Genomic DNA, 15,068 nt, shown 5'->3' on the forward strand with positions numbered 1-15,068 from the left:
AGACAGAAAGTAGCTTAGTGGTTGGCTAGGCTAGAGATGGGAATGGAAAATGACTGCTAATGGTCACAGTTTCTTTTTTCTTTTTTTTGGAGACAGTCTCACTCTGTCGCCCAGGCTGGAGTGCAAGTGGTGTGATCTCAGCTCATTGCAACTTCCAACTCCTGGGTTCCAGCGATTCTCCGGCCTCAGCCTCCTGAGTAGCTGGGACTACAGACGTGTGCCACCACGCCCAGCTAATTTTTGTATTTTTAGTAGAGACAGGGTTTTACCATGTTGGTCAGGTTGGTCTCAAACTCCTGACCTCGTGATCTGCCCATCTCAGCCTCCTAAAGTGCTGGGATTACAGACATGAGCCACCGCACCTGGCACATGGTCACAGTTTCTTACTGGTGTGATGGGAATGTTCTAAAATCAGAATGCGGTGATGGCTGCACAATCCTGTAAATATGCTAAAAGTCATTAAATTAGTCACTTAAACTGAGTCAAATTTACAGTGTGTAAATTATGCCTCAATAAAGTCATTTTTAAAAATAAGATTGAATTCTGAAAATCAGCCAGGATATTGCAGATTAGTTGTAGCTTGGCATCAGTGCACATGGTTTCTTTCTGTTTGTCCTCAAAAATTCTAATGTTGAATTATCTGCATTTCCAGAAATTAGATCTCACTATGCAAAAAAAAAAAAAAAAAATACTAAAATACTAAAACGTGTTTTAAAATGTAAATACATTCCATTAGCTAATCTAACCAGGAATCTGGGAATCATATATAAACTAATATAACTTTAAAAAATATATATCCATGGGAAACAGAATTGTTTATAAGGACTTTTCTTAATTTACCTTCTTCTACGCCCTCACAAAGTTCCTTATCCATCCAGGATCCAGAGAAATTTTTTTAAGCCTAGAGCAGATTATATCACTACTGTTGGAAGCTGCCAGCAGTGAGAACAATCTATATCTCACTCTCCCACAGTCTGAAAGGTCCTCAATGCTCTCACCTTTGCCTGCCTCTCTGGACCCACTTCACATCATGTTTCTCATCCCTAAATTTAAACACCAGCCACACTGGCCTTGTTGCTGTCCTTCCAAAAACCCCAAGTTTGTTCCAGCCTCGGAGTCTTTGCACTGGCTCTGCCTTAAAAGGCAATGAAGTATAGTGGTTAAGCGTGCAGACTCTGGCTTCATACTGCCTGGCTTTCTGCCTGTGTTTAAATACCAGCTACGACACTTTCGGTGAGTTACTTAATTCCCCTGTGCCTACTTTCCCCATATGTATCATGGTAATAATAACCATATCTACATCATAGGGTTGTTAGAGGATTACATGAACTAATGTTTGAAAAGTGCTTAGGGCCAGGCGCGGTGGCTCACGCCTGTAATCCCAGCACTTTGGGAGGCCGAGGCAGGCGGATCACCTGAGGTCAGGAGTTCGAGACCAGCCTGGCCAACACAGCAAAACCCTGTCTCTACTAAAAATACAAAAATTAGCCAGGCACGGTAGCGCACACCTGTAATCCCAGCTACTCGGGAGGCTGAGGCAGGAGAATCGCTTAAACCCAGGAGGCAGAGGTTGCAGTGAGCTGAGATCGGACCATTGCACTCCAGCCTGGGCAACAAGAGCAAAACTCCATCTCAAAAAAAAAGAAAAAAAGAAAAAAAAAAAAGAAAACTGCTTAGAAGAGCTTTTATATAAAACTTCTTAAAGTATCTGCCTGAAATGATCTTTCCCCACATCTCTTCAGAAAAGGCCTCCTATCATTCCGAACTCAGTTCAAATGTCCTCACCTTAAGCCCCTCATTAACTAATTCTTAACTCCATGTATTCAATACATAGTTATTAAATGCTTGTTTTGTGCCAGGCACTGTTTTCGGTGCTGAGCAAGTATGAAGAAAACAAGTAAAGATTATTGCTCTCATGGAACTGACTCTCCAGTGCGGTAAGACAGAAGATAAACAATAGTCATACAAATATATCATGTCAGAAGCAATCTGTGCTGGAGAATACAGGAAATGGAGAGCAGAGTGAGTGGGGTGGGGAGTGCAGGAGAGGGGCTGAGAAGGACTAGTCTGCATCATTGCATGGGGTGGCCAGGGACACTGAGAAGTGGCATCTAAGCAAAGAGTTGAAGGAGGCAAAGGAGTTAGTCAGAGGTGATGGTCAGGAATAGTGTTCCATGCATTGATAACGGCCAGAGCAGAGGCCCTGAAGCCAGGCCCGGGAGGCTGGAGTGTGCCCGGCCTGTTTGAGGGCCTCAAGGGGCCATTGGGCTGCAGTGAAGGGACAGAGAAGGAGAAAAGGTTAGTCCTAAAAAAGGGGAGCTGTGCTCAGAGAGGTATGAAGGGCATCGGGTAGATTATACAAGGCGTCCAGGGCCATTTAAACTCTTTGCCTTCTTATCACGGTGATATAGTGGGGGGTGGCAGATAGACACTAAGAGGACACCCAGTTATCCCCACTGACCCACTGAAATTGTGAGATAAAAAAACGTGTGTTGTTTTAAGCCACTACTTGTAGTAATTTATTACCCAGCAAAAGATAATGAAGAGGGAGACAAAAAGGTTTTGAGCAAAGGAGTGAAGTGATCTGATTTGTTTTATAGGGAGTGCTCTGGAAGTGGCATGGAGAATAAGCTAAAAGAGAGCAAGCACTGAATCAAGGAGTCCAGGCAGGAAACCATTGCAATAATCCAGGCAAGAGATGATGGTGACTTAGACTTGGACTAGGATGTGGGATCATGAGAAGCAGTCATATTTTCTCTTTCTCATAGAACTTCTGCCTAAAACCTGCATACATTTTAACTCATTTGCTATAACTTCTTTCATTCCTCAACCCATCCCTGAAAGAACCAAAGTCCTATGAGCATAGACACCTTGTCCATCTTTTGCATAATTTTAAGCACTGCAACTAACACACAGAGTGGGTGCTAAATAAAAGTTTGTAGAATAAGTGAATGGAAGAGTGAATTTGTGAATGAATGAATGAGTAAATGGGTAAATGAATATGAGTTCAAATTCACTTTTATCCTTTGTGCAGTACACATATGATTTTTAACTTAGGATAAATGAAATATTTCAAATTAATGAAACAGCTATTTTTATAGCTGTTACTGGAAGAGCTAACAATTTGAAACAAAAATTAAATTCAATACTTTATATACTTCAAAAGATGGCAGATAGCTTAAAGAGTTTAATATTTAAAAATAAATCCTAAAAGAACAAAAAGAAAATATAACAATTATTTTAATATGGAAAAGGACTCTCCAAAGGCAGAAACTACTTTAAAAAGATTGATAGGTTTGATAACACAAAAATTCTTAACTTCTGTGCAGGAAAATCATTATAAACAAAAGTTAAAACCTAACAAACATACAAAAAAAGTAACTATATATGGACAATGGAATAATACCCTTCATGCATAAAGGACATTTACAAATAAATAAAGGAAAAATCCTCCATAGAAAAATTTGACTAAAGTATAGAAGAATTTATAAGAAGGACATATAAATGTTCAAAAAACATAAGAAGGGTCCAACCTTACAAGAAATTAAATATATGTAAATTAAAGCCCAATAAATTAATACTTTTCTCCTATCAAATAGACATTGATTTCTTTTAATGTTAATACAGATGTTGGCCAAGTCACTGGTTAATGAACATTATTATTCATTTTGGCTCACATTAGTATTAATTGATAAATTTCAAGGGGTGATTCAGTAGTATGCAGCAAGTACCTTTAAAATGTCCATAACCATTGGCCACCTGATTTTACTTATTTTAAAGAAATTATCCCAGATGCACATACAAAGACGCATGTGTATACAATGGAATACAAGACAGACGTAAAAATGTTATCATTGTAGGACAGATAGTAATTATATTGAAAAATGTACTCCATACAGTATATTGTTAAATGGAAAAAAGTTATAAAGCAGATTATACAGAGTTGTTTCCATTTTTAGAATATACATATATAATTATTATTGTGTGGTTATACAAATATATACAGGTGATAAAAATGACATAAAACTATATATACTCATTGTACCAATGTCAATTTCCTGGCTTCTGATGACATAGAACTATATACACTCATTGTACCAATGTTAATTTCCTGGCTTCTGACATTGTACTTTAGTTATATAAAACAGAACCATTGGGTATGACTGGGTGAAATGTGTAAGATTTGACTAATTTTTATTTTCATCACATGTTTATACTTTTGTTCAATGAACAAATATTTTCATAAGAAAATATTATTGAATAATGTAAAAACCTAAAGATGTCCCAATAATTAAAATCTTTTTGAATATATATTTATGTGTGTGTGTGTATTATAGATGTAAGATATACATATGAGGAAAGATGGATGGATGAATGGATGGATGGATGGATGGATGGATGGATGGATGGATAGATGACAGAGCCATTATGAAACTTATCATATATTAAAATGACATCACAAAAATGCTTCTGATAATACAAGTTGGATATGTAAGGAACAGACAGAGCTTTCATATTAATCAGTGGTAAGCTACTGTATCTTTAAATTGAGTTAATAATCAGTTCTTTACATTAAATCACATTTTTATAATTGTATATGTATTTTATTGTGATCAATTACAAACATAGACATCAACATCAACAAATATAAAACAGCCTTGTTTTTTCTTCTCTCCTGTCCCCATCACTGAAATGTCCTTCAGCTCTTCCCTTTTCCTTGCCTTCAAGAATTACGATGGAAACAGTTTGAAATGGAAAAAAAACTGCAATTTGAATTTGATTTATTCTATTTAGCATCTGTGGTCAGGGGCAAATCTTTTATCCTCTCTGAGTCTCGGTTAACTCTTCTGTAAATGGAAATATTAATTAAGCCACTTACAGAGTAGTTGGGAGCATTAACTGAGAAGACATGTGCAAAGTAACAAATACTGGTAGGTTCTTCACACATGTGAGATTCCTCTTTTTTCTTTCTCCATTTACTTCCTATTCCTTGACCTCTCCTATTGCCAACATTTTGAAATTCTTATTTTCTGAGAAAACACAAGGATTTTTTTAAATTTGTGCAGACTGGGACACTAATTTTCTCAGCAAGATCACATTTTAAGAACTAAGCATCACTAAGGGCTTTTTTCTTTTATGGGGATGAGAGGGTATGGAGGAGAACAGAGACTAATATTTTTTTGGCACCACTCACAGCCCAGTGCCGTATGGAGCACAGCCTCTCCCAGTTATAACAGTTGTTGGATATTCAGTTTTACCGAATCCACCAAGAGTACATTTATCTGGAAAAACTCCTGAGAACACTAAAGAAAGCTAAGAGCAATTCTATTCTCGAAGCACTATTTCTTCTCCATGTCATTTTTAATGCTGCTGAATGCCATTATGCAATGATTTTAGTAGAAGTCGGCTTTTCAAAATGGCATATTTTTTCGCCTATCCCCAAGAATTCATCTTATATTTCAAATGGCCTAGTTTCAAGCTGTTATATCAGTCAGGCTAACACATGGTCACAGGCTTAGCAATTTAGGGGTAGGGGAGGGGAGAGGGAGATGAAAGGGCTTGATTTGCCACGATGGTATAGCACAGCCCTTAAATCTTTAGGGTTTCTTCAAGTCCTGGCTTCACCTCCTCTGTTGTTCCACATCCACACATACTCAGCATTTCACATTCAGGTCATCCAGCCCTTATTTCCAGCTCACTATCACAACCCTCAGGGCAGTCCACTGTGGTCTTTCCCATCATTCAAATAAATAACAAAATCGTGTGCTGCAAAAACAGCAATAAGTGAAAAATGCAAACCTGCCTGTCCTGTATGTGACTCATGGCACAGCAAGCTGAAGGATCTTCAGTGTGCTATTCTCATTACATAATAACCCCTCTGGTTCCAAGCTGCAGGAGCCCTTCCAATTTATATCAGTGTCTGGGTTGTTCATCTTTTTTTTTTACCATTCTGGCCTTTAGCCTGTATCTATTCTCTGTTAGCTCTAATCTAAGTAAGGAGAATACATTCTGCAGAGTCAAGCAGGTAGGGCTGATTTTTAAATGTGCACATATTTAGGTAGAATATTCTAATGCTTCATTGTAGTGGGCATTTGTTTTCCATTTTCTGAGCTTGGTTGGCCCCATTCTCCCCGCATCCTTGGAGCTGCCAATACTTCCAGTAGACTCTTTTCCTATAAAATGTGGCCAGTTATTTCCTGTTATTTGCAACCAAGAACCCTGAGTAATATAACCTTCAAGTCATCACAATACATTCTCATAATCTAAGATAAGGGCAATAAAAATATGTGGAGACCTTCAGATAATATGAATATTAATAAAATGTATACTTGAAAGAAAGATGTTTATGAAACACTGCCAGGGAAAACAAGCGCTGTATAAAACAGTATGTATAGTATGATCTTTTTGCAAAAGAAAAAATATAGATATATATCTACATGTCAAGAAAACTGAAAGGATACTATCAAAATGTTAATAGGGTGGGTAATCTTCATGAGAAGAACTCGCCTGTGATTTTTATTTAATTCTTTTTGCTTCTCCATGCTTTCTATAGTTTCTACCATGAACACATATTCCTTTTGCAATATGAAACAAATAATAAATGTTATTTTAAGGAATGCATTATATGTTGAATTCCTAACACCCAATGTGACAATATTAGGAGGCAGAGACTTTGGAAGGTATTTAGGTAATGAGGATGGAGCCCTCATGAATGGGATTAGTGCCCTTACTCTAAGAGGTCAGAGAGCTACTTAGCTGCCTTTCTACCAGGTGAAGATACAATGAGAAGTTGGCAGTCTGTGGCCCAGAAGACAGCTTTCATCAGAACCTGATCATGCTAGCACCCTGATATCAGACATCAAGGCCTCCAGAATCAGGAGAAATAAATTCCTGTTGTTTGTAAGCCACCCAGTCTATGGTACTTTGTTATAGAAGCCTAAGCTGACTAAGACATTTAGCAATATTGCAATTTCAGACAAATTTCCGCCTTTTTTAAATAAATAAAATAAAAGCAGAAATTTTTTAGGAAGTTTCAAAGCTCACTAGTTAAAGGCTGTGCCATTACAGTCCTGATAATTTACTCACCTCACATCAATTCCTCTCCTGCTAGGATAATTCTGTAGAAACATTTGTCTGTGTTTTTTTTTTCTTTTTATTAATTATTCAGCATTGTGTCTGGTTTTGCTTCAAAGGTCGGAGGCAAAATTTTCAAGTGCTCTTAGAATTTACTTATTTTCCTTCAAGAGTGTTTAGAATAAAATATCCAGAGTTATATAATCTGTTAAACATTAATTGGTCATGCAAAATTTTACATCTCTTGATTGTACCATTTCTAGAGTTCAGTCCTTGCTCTCTCCTTGTACATCATTGGTTTTCAAACGTATTGGTCTTGGGATCTCTTTATACTTATAAAAATTGCATAGAGGTTTGGGGGAGAAATGGCAGATAAGAAGTAGAACTAACTTGCAGCTCCCACTCAGACAAACAGAAAAGCATGTGGAGACTCACATCATAAATTTTTGCTCCATGAACCACCACAGGAACATACCAGGAAAATGGAAAGAATTCACAGACCCTTTGAAAGAAGCAGCTTGCCACTGCAAACTCCATGAGACAGCTGAAAAACTGTGAATGCCCAAAGTGTGAGAAGGGGAAAGTCCACCTCCAAACACACATCCTCACCGGGGAACCTGAAAATCCAGATTTTAGATCCAGATTGAGAGAGTGCAGCAAAATATAAAAGTAGAAGAAGCAGGGGAAAGAGCCCTGTAGGCACTCCCAGTCCCCAAGGAGGCCATTTCTGACTTTGTCTCACAGGGGTTTTTGGGGAGGGCAGCCAATAAAATTGGGGAAGGGCCACAGGGAGACGTCCAGCTGAACTTTGCAATAATTTTGACTTAGCGTGAAATTTCCTGGGCAGAATCCAGGGGGTGAGTGGGAAGCGCAGATAAGAGCACAGAAGCCACAGCAGGCAGGGAGGGGTGAAGCTTGCAAGCCCTGCTTGCTTTCTCAGCAGGGAAGCTTATAGCCTGGGGCAAGATCTGATCCCTGCACACTGGAGGCCTGGATATGAATTCAGCTCTGTTGGCTGTTGGGGGAGCACAATGGGGGTTGGACTGGCCTTGCTGGGTACCTGGGAGCTGAGTGGGAACTGTCACTGCTGGCTTTCCCCCATTTCCCTAGCAACCTGTACAAAGCACCAGAGGAAGCCATAATCCCCCTTGGAACATAACTTCATTGGCCTGAGAACCACCCAATCCACCCCCACAGTGGATGCAGCAAACCCCACCCAAGGAGAGTCTGAGCTCAGACATGCCTAACACCACCTTCACCTGATGGTCTTTCTCTACCTGCCTGGTAGCCAAAGACAAAAGACATAAACTCGTGGGAGCTCTGCACCCCCACCCATTATCTGAGAAACCTGAATACTTATCCAGGTGACTTTAGAGCAAGCTTGTATCCTCCCCTACCCCCATACTACCGTAACTGACGCTTTCTTGAAAGCACCACCTTCTGGCTGGAGGCCAGTCAACTCAAGCCATTACAGCAACTCATAACAGAACAACCCTGCTCCAAGAAAGGAGAAAACAACAGCTAATTCCACCACCTGCAACATCCTCACTGACCAGAGCTCCTGAGTCTGCCCACATGACAACTTCACTGCTAGCAAAACCAGCATTCGGGAAAACCCTGCCACCTCTGCCACAGCAGATGCTGATATCCACGGCTGAGAGCTCAGAAGATAGATCACACCCAGGACTCTTTGCCGGCACTCCCCGGTACCAGCCAGAAGCCCAGTAGCTCTGCTGGGTGGCTAGACCCAGAAAAGCAACAACAATCACTGCAGTCTGGCTCTCAAGAAGCCCCATTTCTAAGAGAAGGCGGGGAGCACTACATCAAGGGATCCCCCCACGGGACAAAAGAATCTGAAAAGAAGCCCTCGTGTTCCAGATATTTTCTCTGATATAGTCTACCCAAATGAGAAGGAACCAGAAAAACAATTCTGGTAATATGACAAAACAATGTAACACCCCCAAAAGATCACATGAGCTCATGAGCAATGGATCCAAACCAAGATGAAATCTCTGAATTGCTAAATACAGAATTCAGAGGTCGATTATTAAGCTACTCAAAGAGGTACCAGAGAAAGGTGAAAACCAACTTAAAGAAATTTAAAAGATAATACAAGATATGGAAGAAAATAAATCTCCAGATAGATATCATAAATAAAAATAATCACAACTTCTGGAAATGAAAGACACACTGTATTAGTCTGTTTTCATGCTGCTGATAAAGACATACCCAAGACTGGGCAATTTACAAAACAAAGAGGTTTAATGGGTTTACAGTTCCATGTGGCTGGAGAGGCCTCACGATCATGGCAGAAGATGAAGGGTATGTCTCACATGGCTGCAGGTAAGAGAAGAGTTCGTGCAGGGAAACTCCCATTTTTAAAACCATCAGATCTCATGAGATTGATTTACTATCACAAGAACAGCGGAGGAAAGACCAGCCCCCATAATTCCATCACCTCCCACCAGGTTCCTCCCATGACACGTGGGAGTTGAGGGAATTATAATTCAAGATGATATTTGGATGGGGACAGAGCCAAACCATATCACGCACTTAGAGAAATGCAAAATGCACTGGAAAGTATTAACAGCATATTGGGATTACGTTAAATGCCAAACCTAAGAATAATTGGTGTTCCTGAGGAAGAAGAGAAATCTAAAAGTCTGGAAGACTTATTTGAGGGAATAATCGAGGAAAACTTCCCCAACCTTGCTAGAGATCCAGATATCCAAATACAAGAAGCTCAAAGAACACCCAAGAAATTCATCACAAAAAAAATCATCTCCCAGGCACATAGTTATCAGGTTACCTAAAGTCAAGACAAAAGAAAGAATCTTAAGAGCTGTGAAGCAAAAGCATCAGGTAACCTATAAAGGAAAACCTACCAGATTAACAGCAGATTTCTCAGCAGAAACCCTGCAAGCTAGAGGTGATTAGGGTCCTATCTTCAGCCTCTTTAAACAAAATAATTATCAACCAAAAATTGTGTATCCAAGGAAACTAAGCTTCATAAATGAAGGAAAGATAAAGTTTTTTTCAGACAAACAAATGCTAAGAGAATTCACCACTACAAAGCCAGCACTACAGGAATTACTACAAAGAGTTCTAAATTCTGAAACAAAACCTGGAAAAACACCAAAACGGACCTCCTTAAAGCATCAATCTCACAGGGCCTATAAAACAATAATACAATGAAAAAAACAAGGTATTCAGGCAACAACTAGCACAATGAATAGAATAGTACCTCACATCTCAATACTGATTTTGAATGCAAATGACCAAAATACTCCAATTAAAAGATACAGAATGGCAGAATGAATAAGAGTTCACCAACCAAGTAATCTGCTTTCTTCAAGAGACTCAACCTAACACAGAAGAACTCATGCAAACTTAAGGTAAAGGGGTGAAAAAAAAGATATCCCATACAAATGGCCACCAAAAGCAAGAAGGAGTAGGCTTTCTTATATCAAATAAAACAGACTTTAAAGCAACAACAGTTAAAAAAGACAAAGAGGGACATTACATAATGATAAAAGCACTAGTCCAACAGGAAAATATCACAATCCTGAATATATATGCACATAACACTGGAGCACCCAAATTTATAAAACAATTACTACTAGACTTAAAAAATGAGAGAGATGGCAACACAGTAATAGTGGGGGACTTCAGTACTCCAGTGACAGCACTAAACAGGTCATCAAGACAGAAAGTCAACAAAGAAACAATGGACTTAAGAAGCTATACCCTAGAACAAATAGACTTAACAGATATTTACAGAACATTCTACCCAATAACTGCAGAATATACATTTTATTCATCAGCTTATGGAACATTCTCCAGGATAAACCATATGATAGGCCAGAAAACAAGTCTCAATACATTTAAGAAGACTAAAATTATACCAAGTACTCTCACAGTTCACAGTGAAATAAAATTGGAAATCAACTCCAAAAGGGACACTCAAAACCATGCAAATACATGGAAATTAAATAATCTGCTCTGGAATGATCTCTGGATCAACAATAAAATCAAGAGGGAAATTTTTGTTTTTTGAATTGAATGATAATAGTGACATAGCCTATCAAAAGCTCTGGGATACAGCAAAAGTGGTAGTAAGAGGAAAGTTCATAGCAATGAATGCCTACATCAAAAAGTCTGAAAGAATACAAATAGACAATCTAAGGTCACACCTCCAGGCCTTTGAGAATCAAGAACCACACCCAAACCCAGCAGAAGAAAAGAAATAACAAAGATCAGAGCAGAACCAAACGAAATTGAAACAAAAACCCCAAAAGATGACCGATACAAGCAGTTGGTTCTTTGAAAAGATAAAATTGATAGACCATTAGCAAGATTAACCAAGAAAAGAAGATCCAAAAAGCTCAATTAAAAACAAAATGGGAGATATTACAACTGACACCACAGAAATACAAAAGATCATTCAAGACTACTATGAACACCTTTATGCTCATAAACTAGAAAACCTAGAGGAAATGGATAAATTCCTGAAAATATGCAGCCTTCCTAGCTTAAATCAGGAAGAAGTAAAAACCCTGAAGAAATCAATAACAAGCAGCAAGATTGAAATGGTAGTAAAAAAAAATTACCAACAAAAAAAAGTCCAAGATCAGATAGATTCTCAGCTGAATTTTATCAGACATTCAAAGAATTGGTACCAAACCTACTGAAATGATTCCAAAGATAGAGAAAGAGGGAATCCTCCCTAAATAATTATATGAAGCCAGTATCACCCTAATACCAAAACCAGGAGAGGACATTAAAAAAAAAAGAAAACTACACACCAATATCCCTGATGAAGATAGATGCAAAAATCCTCAACAAAATACTAGCTGACCAAACCTAACAGCATATCAAAAAAAAATCCACCACGATTAAAGTGGGCTTCATACCAGGGATATAGGGATGGTTTAACATACACAAATCTATAAATGGGATACACCACATAAGCAGAATTTAAAACAAAAATCACACGATCATCTCAATAATTGCAGAAAAACCATTTGATAAAATCCAGCACCCATTTATGGTTAAAATCCTCAGCAAAATCAGCATAGAAGGGACATACCTCAATGTAATAAAAGCCATCTATGACAAACCCACAGCCAATATTATAATGAATAGGGAAAAGTTGAAAGCATTCCCCCTGAGAAGTGGAATAAGACAATGATGCCCACTTTCACCACTTCTATTCAACATAGTACTAGAAGTCCTAGCCAGAGCAATCAGACAAGAGAAAGAAATGAAGGGCATCCACATTGGTAAACAGGAAGTCAAACTGTCGCTGTTCACCAGTGATATGATCATATATGTAGAAAACCCTAAAAACTCATCCAAAAAGCTCCTAGATCTAATAAATGAATTCAGTAAAGTCTCAGGATATAAAATCAATGTAGACAAATCAGTAGCACTGTTATACACCAACAGTGACCAAGCTGAGAATCAAATCAAGAACTCAAACTCTTTTACAATAGCTGCAAAAAAATAAATACTTTGCAATATACCTAACCAATGAGGTGAAAGACCTCTATAAGGAAAACTACAAAACACTGTTGAAAGAAATAATAGATAACACAAACAAATAACAGACAACACCCATACTCATGGATGGGTAGAATCAATATTGTGAAAATGACCCCACTGCCAGAAGCAATCTATAAATTCAGTGCAATTCCCATCAAAATACCATCATCATTCTTCACAGAACTAGAAAAAACAATCCTAAAATTAATGTGGAGCCAAAAGAGAGCCCACATAGCCAAAGCAAGACTAAGTAAAAAGAACAAATCTGGAGGCATCACATTACCTGACTCAAACTATACTACAAGGCTATGGTCACCAAAACATCACGGTACTGGTATAAAAATAGGCACATAGATCAATGGAATAGAACAGAGAACCCAGAAATAAAGTCAAATAGTTACAGCCAACTGATCTTTGACATAGCAAACAAAAACATAAAGTAAAGAAAGGATATTCTATTCAACAAATGGTTCTGGGATAATTGGCAAGCCACGTGTTCAAGAATAAAACTGGATCCTCATCTCTCACCTCATACAAAAATCAACTCCAGATGAATCAAACACTTAAATCTAGGACCTAAAACTATAAAAATTCTAGAAGATAACATTGGAAAAACTCTTCTGAACATTGACTTAGGCAAAAACTTCATGACTAAGAACCCAAACACAAATGCAACAAAAACAAAAAATAAATAAATAGGACCTAAGTAAACTAAAAACCTTCTGCACAGCAAAAGAAATGATCAGCAGAGTAAACAGACAACACACAGAGTGGGAGAAAATATTCACAAACTATGCATTTGACAAAGGGCTAATCTCTAGAATCTACAAGGAACTCAAACAAATCAGCAAGATAAAGAAACAAACAATCTCCCGAAAAATAGACAATTCTCAAAAGAAGATATACAAATGGCCAAGAAACGTATGAAAAAAGGTTCAACATCACTAAAAATCAGGGAAATGCAAATCAAAACCACAGTGCCATACCACCTTACTCCTGCAAGAATGGCCATAATCAATAAATCAAAAAATAATAGATGTTGGCGTGGAATTGCTGAAAAGGGAACACTTTTACACTGCTGGTGGGAATGTAAACTAGTACAACTACTATGGAAAACAGTGTGGAGATTCCTTAAAGAACTAAAAGTAGATCTACTGTTTGATCCACCAATCCCACTACTAGGTATCTACCCAGAGGAAAAAAGTCGTTATATGAAAAAGACACTTGCACACGCATGTTTATAGCAGCACAATTTGCAATCGCAAAAAATATGGAACCAGCCCAAATGCCCATCAATTAATAAGTGGATAAAGAAAATATGGTGTGTGAGAATATGTATATATAATATATATCAATTTTATGTATATAATGGATATATATATGATTTATATTCATGAATATTCTTTTCATAATCTTCTCCTGGCTGTATATAGTATATATATATATATCCATGACATATATACTATATATATGATATTTAAAGAAAATATGGCGTGTGTATATATATATAAATCTTCATTTTATATATATATATATACACACACATATATATATGTATGTATACTACTGAGCCATAAAAAAAATGAAATAATAGCATTCACAGAAACCTGGATGGAGTTGGAGACCATTATTCTAAGAGAAGTAACTTAGGAATGGAAAACAAAACATCATGTGTTCTTACTTATAAGTGGGAGCTAAGCTATGAGGACACAAAGGCATAAGAATGATAAAATGGACTTTGGGTAATCAGGGGTAGAGTGGGAGGGGAGTTGAGGCATAAAAGACAACACACTGGGTATAGTGTACACTGCTTGGGTGATGGGTGCACCTAAATCACCACTAAATAACTTATCCACATAACCAAACACCGCCTGTTCCCCAAAAACTATTTAAATTAAAAAATAATTATCAAGAATCCAAAAGAGCTTTTGGTTTACATGAGTGATATTTATCAATATTTGACTGTATTTAAAATTAAAACAGATAATTTTAAAACACTTTTTTATTAACTTGTTTATAAATTTCAGTAACAAATTCATTATATGTTATCAAAATAGCATATTGCATGAAAAATATATTTTTCCAAAACAAAATTAGTGAAAGAGTAGCATTGCTTTACATTTTTGCAAATCTCTTTCATGTTTTCCTCAATAGATGACAGCTGCATTGTCCTATTCTGCTTCTGTTCTGTTGCAATATCACACATTATTTTGCCTCTAGAAAAGTCCATTGTACACTCATGAGAAAATGAGAGTGAAAAAGGCAAATAACACTTCAGTATCATTATGATGATGGTTTTGATTTCATGGACCCCCTGAAAGGATTACCGGGGGCTTCCTCCCTGGGAATCCCCAGGCTGAGAACCACTGTTCCTACATAAAGCCCCAAGAGGCATAAATGAGTTGATGTCATCTCATGGTTGTGCAGGAACTAAATCAGATATCTAGCAC

The sequence above is a fragment of the Homo sapiens genome, chromosome 3, assembly GCF_000001405.40.
Source record: "Homo sapiens chromosome 3, GRCh38.p14 Primary Assembly".
Taxonomy (NCBI): domain Eukaryota; kingdom Metazoa; phylum Chordata; class Mammalia; order Primates; family Hominidae; genus Homo; species Homo sapiens.